Source organism: Homo sapiens, chromosome 18 (assembly GCF_000001405.40).
Source record: "Homo sapiens chromosome 18, GRCh38.p14 Primary Assembly".
In the NCBI taxonomy this organism is placed as follows: Eukaryota; Metazoa; Chordata; class Mammalia; order Primates; family Hominidae; genus Homo; species Homo sapiens.
Genome location: NC_000018.10, coordinates 2,345,831 through 2,371,126, shown reverse-complemented (window position 1 = coordinate 2,371,126; position 25,296 = coordinate 2,345,831). Strand labels below are relative to the sequence as shown.

General features: G+C 37.2%; 1 long non-coding RNA gene across 5 annotated transcripts, besides 2 other annotated features; it reads right to left on the bottom strand.

Annotated features, from left to right (window-relative positions):
• On the bottom strand, positions 1–20,547 carry LOC105371961 (uncharacterized). 5 transcript variants are annotated; one of them, XR_001753321.2, is made up of 5 exons: positions 20,017–20,300; positions 19,698–19,903; positions 14,579–14,657; positions 5,932–6,084; positions 1–347 (listed from the first exon to the last, which is right to left on the bottom strand). It is a non-coding gene; the product is annotated as an uncharacterized LOC105371961 (long non-coding RNA). The 5 variants fall into 5 exon arrangements; XR_935097.4 differs by lacking the exons at positions 14,579–14,657; positions 20,017–20,300 and adding an exon at positions 20,326–20,547; XR_935098.3 differs by lacking the exon at positions 14,579–14,657.
• Positions 19,343–20,542: an enhancer, noted in NCBI's record as "CDK7 strongly-dependent group 2 enhancer chr18:2350584-2351783 (GRCh37/hg19 assembly coordinates)". NCBI's record gives its function as "activates an origin of replication core promoter dependent on BRD2, BRD4, P300/CBP, MED14 and CDK7 cofactors, with strong dependence on CDK7, by STARR-seq in HCT116 cells {active_cell/tissue: HCT116}" and the evidence as "EXISTENCE:reporter gene assay evidence [ECO:0000049][PMID:35650434]".
• Positions 22,891–23,091: a silencer, noted in NCBI's record as "peak3043 fragment used in MPRA reporter construct". NCBI's record gives its function as "represses an SCP1 promoter by STARR-seq MPRAs in K562 erythroleukemia cells {active_cell/tissue: K562}" and the evidence as "EXISTENCE:reporter gene assay evidence [ECO:0000049][PMID:32103011]".

The following is a 25,296-nucleotide window of genomic DNA, read 5'->3' as shown; positions in this document are numbered from 1 at the left end:
TTGCTTAAAACAACAGATGTTTATTTTGTTATAGTTCAGGAGGCCAGAAGTCCAAAATCAGTTGTCATCAGTTGGTTCCTTTTGGAGGCTCTGAGGGAGAATATTCAGTCGAAATTTTGTTAGAAAAGCAGAATGTAGTAAGGAGTAATGGTTAAGTGACTCTATTAGCGATAATAAAATCCATAATTTATTTGCCCCTGCATTTCTTATAGAAGTGAATATTGGACCAGTGTTTTTTTATGGTAGATATTTGCTTTTCTGAAGGAAAGGCATAGATCCACAAAATATCTCGAGTTGTCTTCTGGCTGGATTTCTATGTCTTGAATGTAGCAAGAAGGGTTGAAATTCTGTGTAAGTAAAAGAAAAGAAGAGGTGTATGATTAAGGGCTGATTCTAGAAAAGAAAAATTGTAAACTCCAGCTTCATAGAACTATCTATATTTTTAAGTCTATATTTCAGGATTTATTTTGTATTATTACAATGTTCCAGTGGGACTTGATGTAAGTTCAGCCCAAGGTTCTTGCATGTATATTTTATTTCCATAGTAAGGAGATGAAAAAAGCAATAATGATGACAAGTGAATAAGGTCCAATAAAAGAGTCAGTGATATTTAGGTAAGGAGTGAATGAAATTTAAATGAGGGAAAAATATTCTTTAAGTGTAAAGTACCTTTGTTTTGTTGTATCCCAAACACTAATTGTTCAGAATAGAAGACATGGTCTGTGAGCCTTAATAATTCTCTGATTTTTATCATTCATACAGGTCTGACCTTGTAATATATTAGATAATAACTTCTGGTAAAATAAATGTCAAATCTTTCTGCTATAATCTCTCCTGCGCAAAAGCTATTGTTTTCCTTTATTTTCTTGTATTTTTGTTCTTCTTTTCTCATTAGAGTGGATATTAGGAAGCTCCCTTTGCAGTTGACAATAATAATACATTAATTTAGAATTCCCATTCGGTGCATACTGGTTGGGATATAGGATCTTAGGGCAACTTTCTGACTCTTGATTCTTTACAGAACAGAGAAAGCAGAGAAAGCAAATCTGCCTAAAATTCAAGTGAATCTCTGAATATATGTTTGTAAGAAGAGGTGGGTGAAGACAGCAGTAGTGTTCCTGCTATTACCACTCAGAGTTAGCATCTAGAACTTTCCATTGCCTCCTAGGACCACAAGGAGGATTTTAGGAGGGCAATAACCACCTTCTTCCAGCATTCTCCCTTATCTCTACCAAATCATTGCCAAGGAAGATAATGTTACTTTAAATGTTGTCCACCAATGCCTGTATTCTTTCACTGATTATTAAAAAACGTTTTTTGTAAGTACATTATACTCTCTGTAACTTTTCCTGAAAGAAGCAAAGGTTTAGGTCAATATATTTCACAATTGAAATTTATTATGTTATGTTACAGGCGTACCTGAGACATATCGAGGGTTTGATTTCAAACCACTGCAACAAAGTGAACATCATAATAAAGTTAGTCACACAAATTTTTTGGTTTCCCAGTGAATATAAATGTTATATTTATACTGTACTATAGTCTATGTAGTGTGTGGTAGTATTATATCTAAAAATGTACATACATTAATAAAAAATACTTGATTGCTAAAAATGCTAATGAACATCTGAGTCTTCAGTGAGTCATCATCTTTTTGCTGGTGGGTCTTGCCACAATGTTGGTGGCTGCTGAGGGATCAAAGTGATAATTGTTGAAGGCTGGGATGGCTCTGGCAATTTCTTAAAATCAGACAATAAATTTGCTCTATCAATTGACTCTTGCTTTTAAAAAATATTTCTCTATAGCATGTGATGCTGTTTGATAGCGTTTTACCCACAGTAGTAGAACTTCTTTCAAAATTAAAGTCAATGCTTTCAAACCCCGATGCTGCTTTACCAGCTAAGTTGGTGTAATATTCTAAATCCTTTGTTATTTTAACAGTGTTCACAGGATCTTCACCAGGAGTAGATTCATGTCAAGAAATCAATTTCTTTGCTCATATATGTGAAGCAACTTGTGTCTGTTAAAGTTTGATCTTGAGATTGCAGGAATTCAGTCAAAGCTTCAGGTTCCATTTCTAATTCTAGTTCTCTTGCTATTTCTACCACACCTGCAGTGACTTCCTCCACTGAGGTCTTGAACCCCTCAAAGCCTTCCATGAGGGTTGAAATCAACTTTTTTCAAACTCCGGATAATGTTGATATTTTGACTTCCTCCTATGAATCATGAATGTTTTAATGACATCTAGAATGGTAAATATCTTCAATTGACTTTGCCCAGATCCAGCACAGGAATTACTATCTTTGGCAGCTATAGCCTTATGAAATGTATTTCTTAAATCATAAGACTTGAAAGTCAAAATTACTTCTTGACTCATGGGTTAAAGAATGGATGTTGTGTTAGCAGGCATGAAAACAATATTAATCTTATACATCTCCATCATGGCTCTTGGGTGGCCACGTGCATTGTCAATAGCAGTAGTATTTTGAAAGGAATCTTTTTTTCTGAGCAGTAGGTTTCACTCCTAGGCTTATAATATTCAGCAAACTGTGCTGTCATTCAGATTGTGTTGTTCCATTTCTAGAGCCCAGCAAGAGTAGATGTAGCATAATTCTTAAGAACCATCAGATTGTCAGAATGGTAAATGAGCATTGGCTTTAATTTAAAGTCATCAGCTGCATTAGTCCCTAACAAGAGAGTTAGACGGTTCCTTGAAGCTTTGAAGCCAGGTATTGACTTCCCTTCTTTAGCTATGAAAATCCTAGATGGCATCTTGTTTCAATAGATGACTCGTTTGTCTCTCTTGAAAATCTGTGGTTTGGTGTAGCCACCTTCATTAATGATTGTAGCTAGATTTTCTTCATAACTTGCTGTGGCTTCCACATCAGCATTTGCTTCTTTACCTTGTAGTTTTGTTAGCAGTGGTGAATCTGTATGGGTCTTCAGCAAACTCAATGCTTGCCTCCTCAGAAGAAAGAATTTGACCAAGGAGCATAAGGCAGAGGGAGAGATCGAGGCAAGTTTTAGAGCAGATCTGAAATTTTATTAAAAAATTTTAGAGCAGGAATGAAAGGAAGCAGAGTACACTTGTAAGGGGCCCAAGCGGGTGACTTGAGAGACTCAAGTGTGCAGTTTGACCTTTGACTTAGGGTTTTATATGTTGGCATACTTCTGGGGTCTTGTGTCTCTTCTCTCCTGATTCTTTTCTCGGGTTGGGCTGTCCACATGTGCAGTGGCCTGTCAGCACTTAGGAAGGGCTGTATGTGCAGTGTAATTATTGGAGTTGTATGTATGCTCACTTGAGGCATTCTTCCCTCACCAGTCAAGTGTTCCTAGAAGGTCATATACCAGTTAAACTCTGCCATTTTTCCTTTTAGTACACATGCTGGAGCCCACTCACCCAATTCCTGAGACCTTATCAGGAAGCAGGTGATCACTAGCTTCAGGTGTTTTCTATCTACCTGGAGACGGCCTTTTTCTGGTGCCAGCTGTGACCAATTATTATCTTAGCGAGACAGTTTAACAACCACCCAACCATCACCTGATGATTGCCTGACATTCCTGGTGAGTGGAGAGCCCTCTCCTGCCTTATTCTTGTCTATTTACTGTAACTCTTTTATGCTATGGAGACAGCTTCTTTCCTTAAACCTCATGTAACAACCTCTGCTAGCTTCTGACTTTTCTTCAGTTGCTTCCTCACCTCTCTCAGCCTTCATAGAACTGAAAAGAGTTAGGGCTTTGCTCTGGATTAGGCTTTGGCTTAAGACAAAGTTGTTGCTGGTTTGATCTATTTGGACCACTCACGCTTTCTCCCTGTCAGCAATAAGGCTGTTTTGCTTTCTTGTCATTTGTGCGTTCACTGGAGTAGCAGCTTTAATGTTCTCAAAGAATTTTTCCTTTTCATTTACAGCTTGGCTAACTATTTGGCACAAGAAGTCTAGCTTTTGGCCTATCTCAGCTTTAGATATGCCTTCTTCACTAAGCTTAATTTTTTTCTAGGTTTTCATTTAAAGTGAGAGATATGCGACTCTTCCTTTCACTTGAACACTTAGATGCCATGGGACGGTTATTAATTGGTTTAATTTCAATATGGTTGTGTCTCAGGGAATAAGGAGGCTAGAGGAGAGGGAGAGAGATGGGAAACGATTAGTCAGTGGAGCATTCAGAACACACACAACCTTTATTGATTAAGTTTGCTGTCATATGGGTATGGTTTGTGGTGCCTCAAAACAATTAAAGTAACATCAAAGATCAGTGATCATAGATCACCATAGCAGATATAATAATAATGAAAAGGTCTGAACTATTGTGAGAATATTGTGAGGATTACCAAAATGTGACACAGAGACGTGAAGTGAACACACACCCTTGGGAAAATGGCACTGATAGGTTTTCTCAGTGTAGGGTTGCTGCAAACCTTCAATGTGTGAAAAAACACGATATCTGGGAAGTGCGATAAAGGGATATACAATTAAGTGAAGTATGCCTGTATAATAGAATGTTTTTGAGTTCTGAATTATAAACTACATTTGGATGTTAAATTATGTGGTCACCTCACTTCTCTCCCTTTGATGCTTCCTGTTATTAATTGGTCAAATATTTGCTGTGAGCCTCCTGGGCCACACATGTGATTTAAGTTGGTCACTTAAGTTATTAGCATTAATATGGGCATTTTATCTTTAAGATACTTCTAATATGTTGACATACAGTTTTTAACCTGGGGTAGAGACTATATCTTTTTAAAAATGAGCTCTGGGTAGGTACAGTGGCTCACATTTGTAATCCCAGCACTTTGGGAGACCCAGGTGGGAGGACCACTTGAGGTCAGGAGTTCGAGACCAGCCTGGACAATATGGTGAAACCCCATCTCTATTAAAAATACAAAAATTAGCTGGGTGTGTTGGTGCACGCCTATAATCCCAGCTGCTTGGGAGGCTGAGGTACGAGAATCACTTGAACCTGGGAGGTGGAGGTTGCAGTGAGCTGAGATTGTACCGCTGCACTCCAGCCTGGACGACAGGGCAAGACTCTGTCTCAAAAATAAATAAACAATAAAAATGAGCTCTGTCTTCCAATTAAAAAGAAGACTATATCAGAAATGTCCATTCCTGGACATGTGTAATATGTAGAAGGAAACAGACTGTAACAGCAAGGAAATGAAGTAGAAGGTTCAGTGCTTGAAGGAAATGTGTAGTTGGTTAGACTGAAAGAGTTCTCCAGAAGAGTCATTCCACTAGATGGTAGCAATTGAGCTCCTCAGGTGGTCACAGTTTTGTACTAAGGGTCATGGATCTCTGTGGAAAGTGTAGATAAAAGCTAAATTTGATGCACACTGCTACAGAAATAAGGAATAAACACTTAGAAAATTTTGTAGCAATTTGACATTTCTATGACATTCAAGCTTGGGATCAGTGGCCTTGTTCCATAGATCATGTATAGACTGGATAGTGTGTTGTCAGACTTGCATGTGTGCATTGTGAACCAGCCATGCACAGTACAACTACATAGAGGTTTGTGACAGAGTTGAAATAATAATTAAAAAATACTGGTTCTTTCCCACAAATAGTTGGAGAGCAGTGATGTGGGTGATATTGTCTCTGTTTTGCAAGATAAACCAAAGCCTTGAAACCCACAGGTGAAGTAAGTGGCTTGCAGAACACCTCCAAAAGAATTGTCAATAAACCATTATGTAAATAGAATGCAAAAGTGCTCATTGAATTACTAGAAAAGAGGGAATGAAGAAATCTGATTCTTTGCCAAAAAGCAAATGACAATAGTCTGGAAGAGAAGGATCATAAAGTTTATGCTCCAAGTGCGAAATTCCATAAATTGTATTTAGTGACTATTTAGTATTATAAAATACTTTGAAATTGACACAGAAAGTGCCACACTTAGTTAACTCCTAGGTCTTTCAGCTAAAAGAGTACTGACCTTGCTCTCTTCAGCACTGACTAGCCGAAAACGTGTGGGATAATTGGCTGATGCCAATGCTCATGGTAGACATAAATGTGTCTTCTTGTTTTCCAAGCTGGCTGGCATTTTCCTACCCAGCAAAAGGCACACTGTGGAGGTCCTGTGAATTGACTGCAGAAATTGTTTACAGTAGTCAGTTTGGTAACCTTGAAACCAGGCATATTTCTCTGGTAAGAGAAACATTAAGTTTTGACACTTAGTGACTACATTGGAACAATGCAGACATTGCTTCTCTAGCAAACCAAGAGAAAACTTTGTGCTTCTCTAGGGCCCATTTAATCACTTTGTACCATATTAAAGTACACTGATTGCATATCTCAAATGTTTCTTTCTACACCCCTCATGTTTCAATGTAGAAGACATATTTCTATATTTTCCTTCTAATATTTTCTCTTAGCATTAGAATGTAAACTCATGAACAAAAGTTGTATATTTTATTTCTTTTACTTCATACTTTGAAAAATTGTACAATGAATTATTTACTAGGCACTTAATATGTGTTTCTTGTAACCATGGAATTATCAATGCATCATTAATACAGCACAAAGAACTGTGGGCATAGCTTAGCCTTCAAGGCTTAACACTGCTAGTTGCTGGTAATGTGACCTTGGGCTGTATTTAACCTCCTCTAAACTTTAATTTTCTCATTATGAAAATGTATAACAATTCCTGCCCTGCTTAACAAAAGATTGCTTGAAAAGTCAAGTTACTTCATATGAAAATGGTTTTAAAATTATAAAATATTAAGGAATAAAAATATGGCAGAAGCTTGATCATAATTTCGTAATGCCTCAGCTAAAGAAATGAAGTTAAACCATTCTATTCCAAATACACTAGAGCTAAAATTTGAATGTAATTGATTAAAACAAATACAAACCAAAACAAAAATGATTCACATAAACTTTGCTAAACTTCTTTATTTCAGGGTGTATTACTCAGGGTTCTCTATGGGGACAGCACTAATAGGATAGATGTGTACATGAAGGGAACTTATTAAGGAGTATTGACTCACACGATCACAAGAGGAAGTCCCACAATAGGCCATTTGCAAGCTGACGAGCAAGGAAACCAGTCTGCCTCCCAAAACGTCAAAAGCAGGGTAGCCGACAGTGCAGCTTTCAGTCTGTGGATGAAGGACTGAGAGCCCCTGGCAAACCACTGGTGTAAGTCCAAGAGTCCAAAAGCTCAAGAATTTGGAGTCCGATGTTTGAGGGCGGGAAGCATCCAGCACGGGAGAGATGGAGGCCAGAAGACTCACGTTCCTTCCACGTTCCTCTGACTGCTTTATCCTAGCAGCGCTGGAGCTGATTAGATGGTGCCCACTCACATTGAGGGTGGGTCTGCCTCTCCCAGTCCGCTGCCTCAAATGTTAATCTCCTTTGGCAACACCCTCTCAGAAACACCCAGGAACAATACTTTGCATCCTTCAATCCAATCAAGTTGACACTCTATATTAACCGTCACACAGGGTTGGGAGGTATTTTTTTCTTCTTTTGAGATGGAGATCCTAAAGCAGGATATTTGATATTCCTGCTTGTTGTAGTATATGTTATAAAACATTTCAGCATGAAAGTAATGAGAAGAGGCCAGGCGAGGTGGCTTATGTCTGTAATCCCAGCACTTTGGAAGGCCGAGGCAGGCAGATCACCTGAGGTCAGGAGTTCGAGACTAGACTGGCCAACATGGTGAAGCCTTGTCTCTACTAAAAATACAAAAATTAGCCGAGTGTGGTGGCACGTGCCTGTAATCCCAGCTACTCTAGAGGTGGAGGCAGGAGAACTGCTTGAACCTGGGAGGTAGAGGTTGCAGTGAGCCAAGATCCCTCCATTGCACTCCAGCCTGGGCGACAAGAGCAAAACTCTGTGTCAGAAAAAAGAAAGTAATGAGAAGAACTCTCTCATCTTGGGTCATAGTGGGATTGAATACAATGAACCCTCTTCAATAGAACCCTCTTCAAGCACTGAAATAGAAATAATAAACATAATTTTTTGGACAGCAGAATAAAATTCTTTCTAGTGTAATTATAGCATCTATCTTAAAGGGGAGTTGGGAGATTAAAAGAGAAACAATATTTATGAACCAGTTTGAGTTCCTTTAGCAAGAGACACTTTAGCAAGTCTATAGTGAGAATATATAACTTTTTATGAGTAATTTTGGCAAAAAATTTGAACTTTGGTATAGCTTACATAAGAAATCAGCAGTAATCATCACAGTGATAGTTTTAAAATGCCTCTTCCCATTTCCAATCTTGTAAAACTCTAGCATTTCAAGGGAAAAGAGATATTTACATGTGCTTAAAATACATGTGATGTTCTTAATCAAACACAAAAGCAGAGGGTTCCATTTCTTTAAGGAAGAATATTCAGAAATGCTGCCTTCCGAATATAACTTTATATTTTGCTGTCTAAAGATAAGGAAATGTGCCTTTTGTGGAAATCAGATGATATGTATTAAAAAAGCCCACACAAAGCAATATAATAAAATTTTGTGGCAGACAATAAGATCATAATAAAAAGTGGAGATATATTTTACTCCTATCACTGTCTGTAACACTAAAATGAGCTAATTTTGAGCATGTTCTTAATTTAGGATCTGCAATAATGGAAAATGATACTCATTCCTACAACAAAAACTCTAGCTGTAAAAAAACTTACATAAAAATAAAACTCCCAATTCAAATGTCGAACCCAGGAACTATGTTATTCCTTGGATTTGGAAATATGGTGTTCTTATTAGTGGATGTTTTCGTTAACTAAATTTTAACTTTGGGCAAGCAAGGACGATTAGTTGTGCATTTTTGAGAAACAAAAAGAAAAAGGGAGGGAGGAAGGAGAGAGAGATAGAGAAAGACTTAACACTTGGCATGAAGTTAAACTTTCAGAGGCTTCTGTTTGATGATCAGGCTTATCCCTAACCGACCCATGTTCCCTGTCATATTACCAGGCCATTGCTTCTGGGTTTGTCCTTACCCTGTTGCTTCAGAGGCCTTGATTCCACTTTATTCTATTACTTTTTAAAAAATATAAAGTATATGAAAAAATGTGCGCCAGATGAGCTATCTAGAATAAGACTGTGAACAAAATCTTTGTGCCATACAGAACCTAAAGGAATATTTATTAATGGATTTCTTTAAATATGTCATAAAGTTTGAATTTTCATTTCTATTTTTAGGCAAGGCAGGACCCAATCATTAAAAAACGAGCCATCCGACACAAACGAAGGTTTTCCTGCGAAGAGGTAGCAACTGAATAAATATTTGAACTCAAATGAGATTAATCAGCCATTAGGTCATGAAAACGGAAAACATCTCAAAGACCTAAAATAAATCCCTGAGATAAACAAAAACAACAAAAACTATGTTAAGCTGTTTATTTCTCAGTACGATGCACTCAGAGTCCATGGACAATGAAAATAATTATTTAATAAAACCTCTGAAGCTTAATGAAGGTAAAAGACCCGTGTATAAGCAAGTGATGAAACGATGGGGAAGGCATTTTTGAAATCATCTCTTGAGGTCTCATTGTTGTTTAAAGATGCTGAAATTCTTAGTCTATAGAAATTTGTAATGGAGTTTAAAACAGCATAACTGAGTCTAGAATAGATATTACCATAGCTTTGATAGGATTGTTTTCACTTTTATAGAAAAGTGTTTTAAAATGTTATATGTAATCACCTGGACCCAAAGGAACACTTGCTACCTAATTGGCCTTATTTGTTAAAGAATGATTCAAAGGAAAAGCTTTATGTTTCATGACTTAGGAATAATCTCATATGTCACAAACATCTTCTGCATGGCACATATCATTACCTGTTAGTGCCAAAGAGATCACTACAGCAATATGCATGTGTTTTGAGAAACACTGCTAAGAATTCATCCGTGGAATGGAGCTGAGAGTCACTCTGTCTGCAGTTAGAAATCTCAGGTTGTGAGAAAATAGAGGCTTCATCTGGTATACATACATCAGCAGATGTCTATTGAGGGGTGCTGTTTTGAAGTTCAGCAGATGCACATCTATAAACAGAGTACATGTACACACTTTTTTTGGCTAATGCTTTTCTAATATTTCTCTTTCTTCTGAAATTGTGTTGGCTTATGGAATCTTTGACAATTTCTGGGAGGGAGAGAAAATTCTTTCCTGGAGTATATAATTTTTGATGTAAGCCAAGAAGTGAGGATGCAAAGATAAAAACTGGGCTCTCCTGACAGTTCTGGAAAGGCTAGGCAAACTATTAAGACAGCAGATCTGTGTCCTTGAAAATAACTTCTATCCGTATAAGAGGAATGCATGTTTCTTTCTTCCTTAGTGTTTCTATGTTACCTAAAGTTGCCATCAAAACCATGCAATAATTTATGATGCTGCATTAAAATTGCGTGTTGCCTTTGTTTAAAAAAAACACTCATTATTTTAACTTTATAAAATCATAGGGTCAAGAGAAACAACAGTAAAACTATTTTTAAAGCACCTCTATTTTATTCTAGGGTTTAGTATAATACATGAAAAAAATGTCAATTTTTATTATTCCCTGCCTCAAGGTTTCTGCTGCATCCCTTTATCTTAGCTTAGATCCATACACAAAAAACAGGAATGTTTGTTTCTTTTTTTTTCCTTTTTGGAGGCAGAAAAATATTCAATATGTACTATAAGTATAATGAAAGGGGAAAATCATTTATACATTTGTTCAATACCATCATAAATCTGCTATGAAATGTTTGATGATTCAAATGCTTAATATTCTGTACAGTCAAGAAGAGAATTATACAGGTGCTATCTGGAACTATCTTTTTTGTATTTTGTTTGCTTTTCAATCTGATGTTGGTTTTCATCCACTTCTGATTCAATTTCCTTTAGCGCTTCTAGCCTTTTGTAGGAAATTGCTTTAAATGTTTCTATATGGGAATAAAATATATTTAAAATAACATTTATGCTCCAATTTAAAAGTAATACATTTCCATAACTTTGGAACAAACAGAAACCTTTAAAGAATAAAATTATAATTAGGCCTCTTTCACTATCCGGAGATAATCCTTGTTAGCATTTTGCCCTTTGGTCTTTTAAAGTTCATACGGAAAATATAAATCTATGTATAATATACATTTTTATTCATAGGAAATATAAAAATACATGTAATGTTACAAATTAGACTTGAGTTTATATTTACATATGTATATATTTAAAATTAAGTGAAAAAATAGGATTTTTTCACTTAATGTTATATTATTATGACGGATTAAAGATCCTTTGCCAATCCTTTTATTAAAAGAAAATCTTCAGCCAAATTAAATTTAAAGGAGTTTAATTGAGCAGTGAATGATTTGCGAAATCAGGCAGCCCCCAGAATCGCAGCAGATTCAGAAAGACTCCAGGGGTGTCTCATGGTCAGAACAAATTTATAGACAAAAAAGGTAAAGTGACGCACACAAATCAGAAGTGAGGTACAGAAACAGCTGGATTGGTTACAGCTTGGCGTCTGCCTTATTTGAACAGAGTTTGAACACTCAGCAGTGTATGACTGGTTGAAGTATGGTTGCTAGGATTGGCGCTGACTAAGGGATTGTTACAGGGCATACTCCTAAATTAGGTTTTCAATCTTGTCTACCTATTAAGTTAGGTTGCAGTTCATCCACAAGGACTCAAATATAGAAGTACCAAGTCCTTCTCAGGCCATATTTAGTTTGCTTTAACACTTCCATTGAGAAGCAATCTCTTTTCCCCTCCCTTGAAACAAGGTTGGCCCTGGGATTTAATTTGATGAATAAAACACAGCAGCCGAAGTGATGCTGTGTAATTTCTGAGACTAGGCCTTAAGAGATCAATGGCTTCTGCCTTTGCTGCTTAGAACAGTTCTTCTTGTGTTCTAGTCCCCATTCTTCCAGGGAGTGTAAGAAGCCACATGGAAAGGCTCATGGAAGATAACCCAGGTCCAGGCACATGAGGGTGGCCATTTTGGACCTTCCAGACATCCCAAAATTGTAGCCAAAATCATGCAAAACAGGAGAGTCACACAGTCAACCCATAGGACTGGGAGAAATAATAAACTGTTATAGTTTCAAGGCATTAGGTTTTGGAGTGATTTGTTATATAGCAACCTGACTGAAACAGAAATATTTTCATGCTGCTAAAATCTTTATAAACATAATTTTAATGGCTTCATAATATTGCATTAGATATACACACTATAATTTACTATTTTTCTAATGTTAGACATTTAAGGAATTCTTATTCTTTTCTATTATAAAAATGTTATAAAATAATATTTGTACATAGAAATCTGAGGATGGAATTGAGATCATTTCCTTGAGCTGGATCTCTGGAAAGGGTATTATTGCTTCAAATAATGTCAACCTTTATAGGACCATTGGTAAAGCTTTCTAAATTGCTAAGTGGCTTCTGCTATATCTCTCTTTCCTTTTTCTTTCTTTTTTGTTTTTGTATTTCCTTCAGGAACTTGTTCTACATAATTTGTGCTTTGTGCAGTAAATTGAAGTTTTCTCTGTGGGCTGGTCATGGTCTATTTTTGTAAACATCTGATTTATGGAAGCATTTTCTATATCTGGGTTACAAAGTTCAGTATTTATTAATGTAACTTTGTTATATAGTTCAATTCTTCCTTGCCCTTATTTATTTTTTATTCAATTGATTTTTCAAAGATGGATAGTAGTGTGTTAAAATATCTCATGATTGTATAACTGTCATTTCTACTTTCACTTGTTATAGTTTTTTTGCTATATATTTTGATGTCATGTTATTTTTTGCAAAAGATTCATGCCTCTGTCTCATTCATCCATTCACCATTTATCAAATGCTGGAGATAAAAAGGTAAAAAGACACAGTCACTCCTCTAGAAGAACTACAGAGTTGTGGGGAACCCCACCAAGACAAATGATGTCAGTTGAGAGGGTTGCAAGAAAGGTGAGGGGGTTAGGCAGAAACCTAAACCAGGTTGGATGGAGAGAGGAGAGCTCCTGGAGGAAGTATCACCTAGTGGAGACATTGCCTTCTTATGAGTTGCATCATTTCGTCAAAGTGATTCTCTGACTTGTTTCATTATTTCTTCTTGAATTGTACTTCATTTCACAATTTTACCACTATATTTCCATTTTTTTGTATGCTGCATATAATTGGATTTTCTTATAAAATTTAACCTGAGGGTATGACTTTTAGTAAAACAAATACTGAGCTCCTACTGTTACCGGTGGAGGGTGTCCAGGTTCCTGGCGTCTTGAACAAATAATTGGATAAAACGCACAAACAAGGCAAGGAAGGAATGAAGAAATTTATTGAAAATGAAAGTACACTCCACAGTGTGGGAGCGGGCCCGAGCATAGGGGCTCAAGGGCCCCGTAAACAGAATTTTTGGGGGTTTAAATGCCCTCTAGAGGTTTTCAATAGTTACTTGGTGCATGCCTTATGGAGAGGATATTTCCTGTCATAGCTGAAGTGTGAGTCGGCCATATGTTCCCTGCCTCCAGACCCTATTTTCCTGCCTGACTGCTATGTGCCAGGTGCCTGGCTAAGCCTGGGCATAAAGGACAACTGCTCCTCAAGGAGCTTGCAGTTCACTGCAGGAGTGGCAAATAAAGAAACTGACAAAGCACAAATGAAGCCCAAAGGAAAGGTTCCTAGTCTAGACATAGTCTTAAACCCTGAGAGATAAGTAGGAGTGATGAACTAGATGAGGCAGGCAGACAGAGATGGGTGTTGGGTAGACAGGACACAGCATGTCCTCTGGCCAAGAGCTGAGAGAGCACGTGATCTGTTTCAGAAACCACAAGTACATAGTCCCCCCTTACCCACAGGGATACATTCCAAGACCCCCAGTGGATGCCTGAAACCATGGATAATATCGAACTCTATATATACTATGCTTTTTTCCTATACATACATATTTATGATAAAGTTTAATTTATAAATTAGGCACAGTGAGAGATTAAAAACAACAGTAATGAAATAGAACAATTATAACAATATGCCAGCATTGCTACTCTTGTGCTTTGGGGCCATTATTAAGTCAAATGAGGTTTACATGAGCATGCGCACTGCAATACTGCAACGGTTGATCTGATCACTGAGTTGGCTGCTGAGTAATAAATGGGTGGGGACCTGAGGCAGCATGGAGACACCGACACAGGGATAATTCCCGTCCCAGGTGGGATGCAGTGGGATGGCATGAGAATTCATTATGCTACTCAGGACGATGTGCAATTTAAAACTTAGGAATTGTTTATTTCTGGAATTTTCCACTTAATATTTTCAGATTGTGGTTGATCGTGGGAAACTGAAGCCTGTAAAGCAAAAGTGGATTGCAGGGGACCACTATAGTTCAGCATGGGGGATCACTGGGGCTGAAAGACAACAGGAGTGAGCGGTGGGAGTTGTGAGATGGAGGTAAAAGATGGGGGCAGATCATGATGGACCCCAAAGGAGGTTTAACTTTAAGTTGGTGAGTGGCACGACTGGATTAGCTTTTGAGTGGCTCCTTTAGCGATAGTGTCTTCTGCCTAACAGCTCTGATTCCTGCTCTTCATCCTGACTAGTACTGACTACTGCTATGAGATACTATGCTAGTACAGTAGCAATTTCTACTACTGTGTAACTCAACTTACTTTTAATTTTGACTTGCCCACGGCACCTTTCAGCGCAGCTTCTCCATTTTAGTTACCGCTCCTGAGGGCCTGAATACTTCTGTAATTTCAAATTACAATGTCAGAGATCAAGAATCAGATCGATTCAGATCGTTCTCACGAGAATAGAGCTTTTTTGCTGTTGTTATCACTAGAATATCTCACGGAGCACCAGATGTTCTCGTGCATTAATGGGCTATTGCGTCCTGGCCCTCAGTTTCAAATCCCTTGTCAAATACGTTCCTGGATGCCCACTTCTGTACTCATAACTTCTTAGGAGACATAGGAGAGAGAACATTAGGGCACGTAAGAATCTCAGGGGATTTTATTGAAAACTTTTTGAAGGTTAGCAAACATTGAAACAGGTTATACCCAAACTTAAGCTCAAGTAAGGAAACTTATAAAAATTTTTACATTACCCTACCTATGTCCATGATATCTTATCTCATGTTCTTCCAATGATCCCCACTGCCAACTCCATGACCACTCACATTTCACAGTGGACAGTTATAGCCATTGGCAAAAGACATAGGGTGGGAGAACTCTGATATTTGCTTTTTCAGGGGTCTTATGTAGTATATTTTTTCATTCATCATTATATAATGATTATTTCACCAATTTAGACAGCTAAATTAACGATGTCACCAACTATTCAGAACACCCAGGACCTCTGCCATAACGTATCATCACTCCTTACATTACGTATCAAAGAGTTCAAATTGCCTATTTTTGCATATCAAACACAGTCAAATTAAGTCAATAGGGCCTCAAACCACTACAGAGGAAAAAGGCAAAGTCTAGGAAAGGGCATTATAGGCCACTGAGCTGGAAAAATAAAGAAAAATCGTTAGAGAAGTTAAAGAAGACAATAAAAGGAAAGACATCCAGTGTTCACAAATTGGAAGATTTATTATTAAGATAGTGATGAACTACAGATTCAAGGTGAACTACAGATTCAATGCAGTCTCTATTAAAATCCCATTGATAATTTTGAAGAAATAGAAAAATCCATCCTAAAGGTCATAATGGAATCTCAAAGGACCCCAAGTAGCCAAAACAATCTTGAAAAAGAAGAACAAAATTGGAGGTCTCACACTTCCTGATTTCAAAACTTACTACAAAGCTACAGTAATCAAATTAGTTTGGTACTGCCATAAAGACAGACATATAAACCAATGGAATAAAATGGAGGGCCCAAAAACAAACCCTCACATATACAGTAAATGATTTTTCAACAAGGTTGTTAAGACCATTCAGTGGGGGGAAAGACAGTCTTTCAACAAATAGTGTTATCCAGCAATTCCATTTCTGGATTGTATCCAAAAGGATAGAAAATAGGAACTTGAAGAGATTTTGGTGTACCCATGTTCATAGTGGCATTATTAACAATAGCCAAAACATGAAAGCAACTGAAGTCATCATTAATAAATGAAAGGATAAACAGAATGTGGCAAATTCATGCAACGGACTACTGTTCAGTCTTTAAAAAGGAAAGAAATTCTGACACTTGCTACATCATGGATGAAATTTTTTTGTTGATGTTGGTCAAATGGTATGTCCTTTTAATTTAAATTTAATTTAATGTAATCAATTTTTAAAAACTTTTATTTTAGAATCAGGGGGTCCATAAGAAGGTTTTTTACAAAGGTATATTGCGTGATGCCAAGGTTTGCAGTACAAATGAGTCTGTCACTCAGGTAGGGGGCACAATACCAAATAGATAGGCTTTCAACTCTTGCCCCACTTTCTCCCTCCCTCTTCTTGTACTCCCCAGTGCTTATTGTTCCTATCTTTATGTCCATGTGTACCCAATATTTAGCTCCTACTTATAAATGAGAACACATGGTATTTATTTTTCTGAGTTAGTTCACTGAGGATAATGGCTTCTAGCTGCATACAACGCGGACGAACTTTGAGGCCATCATGCTAAGTGAAATAAGCCATTCACAAAAGGGCAAACACAGCAATGATTCCACGTATATGAAGTATCTAGAGTAATCAAATCCCTAGAGACAGAAAGTAGAATGGTGGTGGCCAGGGGCTTGGAGGAGGGGGTAGGAGTTATTGTTTAACTGGTACAGAGTTTCAGTTTTGCAAGATGAAAAGAGTTCTGTGGATGAATGGTGATGATGGTCGTACAATGTGAATGTCACTGAAATTTACAGTTAAAATGGTTAAGATAGTAAATTTTAAGTTATGTATGTTGTACATACATACATTTCAAAAAAGATATTAGACTAAACTCAAGGTCTTTGAGATTTGGGATGAATTTTAGATCCATGGTTATGACAGAGAATAAGGGAAAGTGGGAAATTAAATTTTTTTCTTACCATTCTACATGGCCCACAGTAAAGATCTATAGAACATTAAACTTTTCTATGATTAAGATTAGCCCTTTGCAACAAACAGACAGTAACACGATTAAATAATGGGCGAGTCATGTGTTCTGCCAAGGACTATTCCTCATAGGATCTTAGGTAGGATATATCATCTTAGAAAAGAATGCTTTGTGTGTTTGGCACCAAGACAGGTGTGCTATGAAGAGGAAGTGTGTTTTAGGGTTGAGGGGAGAAAGGTGGAAGTTTAAAAGATGTATTTTAAGACAAATTGTGTTCAACATGGATATGTCAAACATGGCACATATTACTACGCTCACAGATGAGTGAGCATAGGAATAAGAAAAATCCATTCTCACTCTTTTTCAGTTACCGAGAGCCTCGGCGCATACATCCTTTTAGAATATTTTCTACCCTGAAAGGATATTTCTATTATTTATCTTTAATAAAAACTCTTAGTGTACATTAACTTTTAAAAAATGTAATAATATATTTGACTCTTTCTATGTTGGAAAAAATAATTCTTGAACATCACCATAATTGGTTTGTAGAATTCCACATGATAGAGGTGCACAATTTACCTAGTCAGTTCTCCATTATTGGACCTATAATTTACTTACACTTTCACAGGGAGCATGATACGATTTGCAGTTTTGAAACATCATGCCAGTAGCTTGCAGTCAAGTTTAACTCGGCCACTTCCTAGCCCAGCAACTTTGGGCAAACCACTTAACTTTCTGTCTCATTTTCCTTGTTATAAAGTAATAATAATAATGATAATTATAAATCTAATATTTATTGAAAGCTTATTATGCAGTAGGTATGGTGCCAAGTGCTTTTACATCCATTGTGTCTTTTATACATTAAACACAGGCAGTAGGTACTACTGTTATTACCATGCTAGAGATGAATGCTGACTTAGGTATCATGCCCAAGGTCATACATCTAGTAAAAGGGAGAGCCAGGACAGTACCTGCTTCAGAGTTTCCATGACGACTAAATGGGAAAATATATGCAAATGTATTTTTAAAAGTGATTTTTCCATGTAAACCCTGAGATGACTCCTGCCATTTTCATTGGGGAAATAAAATAGTGGCCGGAAGGTTTAGAGAGTTTTTTTTTTCTATTTTTAGAATAAAAACTAAATTCTGAAGCATGGTTCACATCACCAGTTTGCTTAAATACTAGGCAATCATTTCCTGTGGTTGCCAGGATTAAACACCAATACCTCACTGACAATTTCTAGTTTGACCTAATGGCTCTGACAATTCAACTCCGTCCCTCCCCATGCTATATGCCTCAGCCAGAGTGGGTTCCCTACAGTTTTCTTCTTTTAAATTTATTTTTTTTTGATGCATAATAGATGTACATAATTTTGGGATCCATGTGAGAATTTAATACATTCATATAATTTGTAAAGATCCAATCAGTGTGCTTGGGATGTCCATCACCTTAAACATTTGTCCTTTCTTTATGCTAGGACTATTTGAATTATCTTCTACTTATTACGAAATATACAATAGATGACTGTGAACTAGAATAACCCTACTGATCTCTTTAACTCTATGTCTTATTTCTTCTATCAAATCACATATTTGTATCCATTTATAAATTTCTTTTCATCTCCCTCTTCCCTACACTTTTCCGAACATATCAATTTGTCTTTCCTCATCATCTTAGCATGTTTTCCTCTGTGTCTGGAATATTCTCCACCAGTCTCTAATTATTGATATTCTTTGAAATGATCTCAAGTGCCAATGTAGCCATGAAATCCTAATATTTACAAATGAATATACATTTCCACTTCTGCTGTTCTGAATTGACGCTCACCTTACTGTGCCTTTTATTGTGAACATTCATTTCCTGGTGTGTAGGTGCTTAAAAGCCAGGATTAATGTACCAGCCATTTGGCATCTCTTTCAGAACCTGAGATTTAAAGAACTGGAAGAAAGCCAATGTGTGGGGATGTGTGTACGTGCACACATGTGGGAGTTCTGAGGGAGCGATGGATCATTTCGTTAATTTCTTTCAACAGCACCCAAACAAATTATTAGATATCTGCCTTGTGAATTTTGCCTTAGGAATGTTGTTCCTTTCAACGAGAGAAATTGAAACCAGAAAATACCAGGTCAAATAGGAATAAGGAAAGTTACTGTCACTTAGATGTAATTAAAATCTAGCCTAACAGTGAGAGGAGGTTCCAGCTGGGCTTCCTGGGTTGATTAGGGGCTCAGAAAGCTGTGAAACTCACTCCTTTCCTGCATCAGGACTTACTTTGGTCCTGGATGAATAATATTAAAGATATGTGCTTAAAATAATATTCCTAACATCAAAACTTGGGCATGTGTTTTCTTCCCCCAAGAAAGCTATAAACAGCGAAACTTTTGCTGTAAGCTTCCCTGTGTCCTCGCTCCCTCTCTCCCTTGCCCCTTCCCTGAAACTAAAAGGAATGTTAAAAGCCCATTTTCCTGCGATCAGCAGACCTTATCTATGTCCCAATTCCAATTCCTTGTCAACACAATCTGTAAAGTCCTGTGAGATCCTGTCTCCTTTGCCATGCCGCTGCAAGGTCATAAAGCAGGTAAAAGTTAAGTTACCATGCCGGTTTTCCTCAAGATCTAAGACATCTTAATCGTCTTTGTTTCTTGCTCTGGTAACATCTTCCCACCTCGGGTATTTCCCGCCTTAAAGAGTTTAAAAGGTGATCAAAAGATCTAACACTGGCTACCCGCGGGGGACCCTTCCGCGCTGTGGAAGCTTCCTACCGTCACTCTGCTCAGTGAAGCCCACAGCCTTTTTCTCTCGGTCCGATCCGTGTCTCTGTCACCGCGGGCTGCCCTCACACCCAATCTTTGGCGTCGCTAAAGCAGGAACCTCCGGCGTGACGGGGGCACATACCACCCAGCCCGGCCTGGCCAGGCAATCGGACTCGATCTTCAGATGATCTTACAATTGGTCACAAATAGGGGTCCTGCGAGGAGAGAAAGCTTTGTCAAGCTGACGTCTCAATCCTGTTTTGAATGAATAGGCACAGGACGGACTCATTACGTCAGCACTGTGTAGGGCCGCAAGCTTCCTGCTCACCTACAGAGAATACATACTGCTGCCTTCCTCTTTGGCTTGCAATTTTACTCAAGGACACACACACACACACACACACACACACACACTCCCACACGCTGGCCTTTCTTTGACCTACTTGTCTCAGAAACCCCTTCTTCAGGAAAAAGTTTTTTCTGACTTTTGAAAATGTAGCCTAAGTAAGGGATGAGCAAGGCTTAGGCTTCTGCCAAAATGGCGGCTGTGGAGAGAAGTGGCCGGATATGGAAGGCTCCCCCTCTCCAGCGCTAGTCTCCAGCCGCCATCTTATTCAGGCCCTCGTTGGTTTCTCACCCAGATGACTGCAACAGCTTTCTCATTCGTCTCCTGTCTGATGCCTCCCTTTCCAACCAACCTGCACATGGCTACCAGACAGATATTTCTAAAATTCAAGCCTGAACGTAACACTCCGCTTTTGAAGTGGTCCAATAACGTTCCACTACTTTCAAAATAAAGTTCGTAATAAGTTTAGCATGCAAGCTTCTCCATTATCCAGCCCCTAGTTCTGGCTCCTGCATCATCTTTAGATATACGGAACCTCTAGCAGCGCTGGGATAGGGTCATGCCTTATGACGCTCTATGGCTTCCCGCATGTTCTTCCCTCTGCTCAGAATGACTTCCCACCACCTGTTTTCCTAATTAATGTGTACTCTACCATCACATCTCTGCTCAATATCACCTCCCTTGAAAGGAATCCTGGTGCTCCTAATCTGATTTACATACCCCTGGCTACCCAAGCAAGAGCTAAGATAATTACCTGACCCTTGTGCCTATCCCAATTCATTGTGAAATTCTTGAAGTCAGGGAGTATCTTGTTCCAATTTTGTACTGAATGAATTGCTAAGGTTCAATCATCAATGGAGATGTAGTTGATACTTATCAACTACAATATGTTAAATACAATTAAAATTTTATTATTCAGCATTAATTGATTATATGAAATAGATCTTGTAGTTTTTTAAATGTACAGCTTTGTTGTAAATAATTTACAGTTATTTTAAAAGTGTTAGCTGCTGTCTGGCTTGGTGATTCCCTGACTGCTCAATCCATTGTCCCTTTGTTGTAGACGTTGCTCCTTTGTTGACTGAGGCATTTTCCAGCCATCTGTTGGCACAAATGTTGGGCATCTTGGAAACAGGAGCTAATAATATAAAAACACAAGATAAATGATCACACTGAGAAATCACCGTATTTGCCTCCTATGCTGCTGTAAAATTAGTACCACCTGGGGAACTAAAGTGTTGCAAGTGAATCTTAAGCTCCATGAGCAAGTGATAATTTAGTAAGGGCTGTTTTCAAAAGAAAACACTTTGACAATAGAAAGTTTCTGTTGTCATTTAGGGTTATAGCCATTACAGGTAATTTTAAATATTCTCTACTGTTCATTTTTAATTAAGTAATTTGCACAAATTTGGAGAAAAATCTGACTAGCCTGATTAGATTCTTAGGATTACCAGTAGGGTTGTGAGAAGATGATTTCTGAATTGTGACTTTTGTTTTTAGTAAAAAAAAAAAAAAAGTGAGATCCCTGCTTATAGTTATTTTAACCAGTGTTGCAATGAGTGGCATGTAAATGATTTATTTTAAATAATTGATGGAAGAGCCAAGGAAATAAAAAAGGGTGGACCATTGGGGCAATATAAACTGAAAATAGTGAAACTTTGATATAGTAGAATCCCTCCATTTTGCCAGATAGATACACTTACTGAATTTTCATGTAAAATAAGTAAGAAATATTTTAATTTTAATTTCAAAATAAATGAGGTAATGAATTTAATAGAAATCTTAATAAATTTCTTCTGTTTGTGTAAAAAATAACTCATGTCAATATGCACAAAAATGTACATGTTATCTTCTCCCATGAAAAAATAGAAAATATACGAATAACATTTTTCAAAGGCCCTATTAAGAGAAAAAGAGAAATAACATAACATTAATAATGTTCTGTTGAAATAGAATAAGGTAATTTTGTAAAAGAACAAGTGTGGTTTTACTTGGGGAAATAAGAAATGACTGACGTCTTATTGAACCGATGGAATTTGAATAACATTAATACTGCATTATTCAAGAGATCAGTGTATCAGACGTCAGTTCACAATTCTAGGTGGATCACATTTGGCTAACCATTGATAAATGTCTCAAAATTAAGATTGTGACAAAATAATCACTTTTTAAAATTACACCATTTCATCTCTTTTGTTCATAGTTTTGCAACTTGATTAATGAAAAAATCATTTGCTTGGCATTCAAATTAAAGCTTCAAATACACATATTTGTGGAATATATATATATCTATATATCTCACATTAAAAAAACAAGGCATCAAACTATTGCATAGTTATAGTCTATATTGATAGCAAATTGTGGTCTGTAATTAAACCACAGGAAAAAAATGGAGAAATGTGATGTTTTAAGATGACACATAAAATGATATTTTGAATTCAGACAATGAGCGTTCTTATCAAAGAGGATTTTTTGTTCAACACTTCTTATAAACGTTGTCCTAATTTTTTTGTTCACTCAGATAATTAAATGCAATTGATATCTTTAGTTAAATACTGAATGTATTATAAAAATAATATTCAAGATGTTCTGAGTCATTTACAGAAAATGTTGTACCCTGTAAAACCAATAATTAATGGCAAGTTAAAATCAAGGAAAGCAGCTACTAATAACTTTACCATCAATATAAGATGATATTAAGTTATAACGCATGATGAGTCAGATCATATTTTATTAAAAATGAATAGTCTTTACACGTGAATAGTTTAGAGATAGCGAGTAGTCAACCTGCTCTTTTGAAGACTCTCACTTATGACTGTTCTTAGACATCACAAATTGATCATAGCACTGTTTTGATGGAACCTGAACTGAGCCTCATATTTCTTTCCACAACTCAAGACATCATTACCAATCAACTGGATGTGACACTTGAGATGAAATTTCTTTACCATCCCTGAGACAGACAATTCTTTTTCTCAGAAAAGGGAACCGAAAGAGGGATTATGTGACTTGGCTCAAATCACATCACAGCTCTGTGACTACATCCCAGATTGGTATCTGTCGGTCTATTGAGTTCTTTATATTCCCCAGTTTATTATTATTATTTACTGTATTTGATTCTCTGGGGGTTTAGTATAGATTCTACATATAATAGCCACTCAACAAATATTTTTAAATGACAGGCTCAATACTAAGCATAAGTTTCTCATTTCATTATAAAGTAAATGAAGCACATTAACTATTATGGAACTCATTAGATGGTATTTCTCTTACACACTTTTGGCTGAGTGCAGATTCTGAGACACTGGTGCTTAAGGGAAAAAGGAGCACCTGAGTGACAGAAAGAGTGCTTACCTTGTACTTTTAGAGAAAGTGAAGCTCTGTAAATTTAGAGAGTTTTTCTGTGAACTCAAGAATATACAAAATAGGAAGCCAAGATCATAAAATTTTAATTCATTTATTCAACTGTGGGGTTATGAGAAAAAGTAGGTAATAGCTTCTATTGAATAGAAATATAATAGAAGTTAAGAAAACAGCTTGGGTAAAAGGTATTAAGTTATAGTGTATATCTATATTTGCTGAATGGATAAAGTATTGATGAGGGCATGCAAAGTAGGTTAGAATTAAAGCTGGGGTAGGGTTAGATTGGGAAATTTGTGTTTTGGAGTAGAATTGTAGCTCTAAAGTGACTGTCTTCTCAAAGAGCCAACAACTTATATTAAATGTTTTTTTTTTGTTTTTTTTGAGATGAAGTCTCACTCTGTCGCCCAGGCTGGAGTGCAGTGGCGCAATCTCGGCTCACTGCAACCTCTGCCTCCCAGGTTCAAGAGATTCCCCTGCCTCAGCCTCCCGAGTAGCTGGGATTACAGGTGCCTGCCACCAGGACTGGCTAATTTTTTGTATTTTTAGTAGAGATGGAGTTTCACTGTATTAGCCACGATGGTCTCAATCTCCTGACCTCATGATCTGCCTGCCTCGGCCTCCCAAAGTGCTGGGAATACAGGTGTGAGCCATGCGCCCGGCCATTAAATGTTAATTGCAGCTCACACTGATGCATTTTAATGTCTGATAAGCCAGTTGTTCTCTTGCCTTGTTGCCCTGGCTAGAGCCTTCAGTACAATGTTGAATTGAGTTGGTAAGCCTGGATATCCTTGTCTTGTTTCTGATATTGGAGGAAAAGCACCCAATCTTGCACCATTAAGTGTGATAAGTTAGCTGTGGGTTTTTGTACATGCCATTTTGATAAACCTTAACCTGTTGATTGAGTTCTCATCTATTACTAGTTCGTTGAATGTTCTTGTCATGAAATGATGTTGGATTTCGTCAAATGCTTTTTCTTCATCTATTAACATGATCATGTAATTTTTGTTTTTTATTCTATAGATATGAAGTTTTTTCAGATATTAAACCAGCTTTGTATTCTTGTGATAAATCCCATTTGGTTATGATATATAATTCTTTTTTTTAAATTTTTTATTTTATTTTATTTTATTATTATTATACTTAAAGTTTTAAGGTACATGTGCACAATGTGCAGGTTTGTTACATATGTATACATGTGCCATGTTGGTGTGCTACACCCATTAACTCATCATTTAGCATTGGGTATATCAACAAATGCTATCCCTCCCCCCTCCCTCCACCCCACAACAGTCCCTGGAGTGTGATGTTCCCCTTCCTGTGTCCAGGTGTTCTTATTGTTCAATTCCCACCTATGAGTGAGAACATGTGGTGTTTGGTTTTTTGTCCTTGTGATAGTTTGCTGAGAGTGATGGTTTCCAGTTTCATCCATGTCCCTACAAAGGACATGAACTCATCATTTTTTATGGCTGCATAGTATTCCATGGTGTATATGTGCCACATTTTCTTAATCCAGTCTATCATTTTTGGACATTTGGGTTGGTTCCAAGTCTTTGCTATTGTGAATAGTGCCGCAATAAACATACATGTACATGTGTCTTTATAGCAGCATGATTTATAATCCTTTGGTTATATACCCAGTAATGGGATGGCTGGTTCAAATGGTATTTCTAGTTCTAGATCCCTGAGGAATTGCCACACTGACTTCCACAATGGTTGAACTAGTTTACAGTCCCACCAACAGTGTCAAAGTGTTCCTATTTCTCCACATCCTCTCCAGCACCTGTTGTTTCCTGACTTTTTAATGATTGCCATTCTAACTGGTGTGGGATGGTATCTCATTGTGGTTTTGATTTGCATTTCTCTGATGGCCAGTGATGATGAGCATTTTTTCATGTGTTT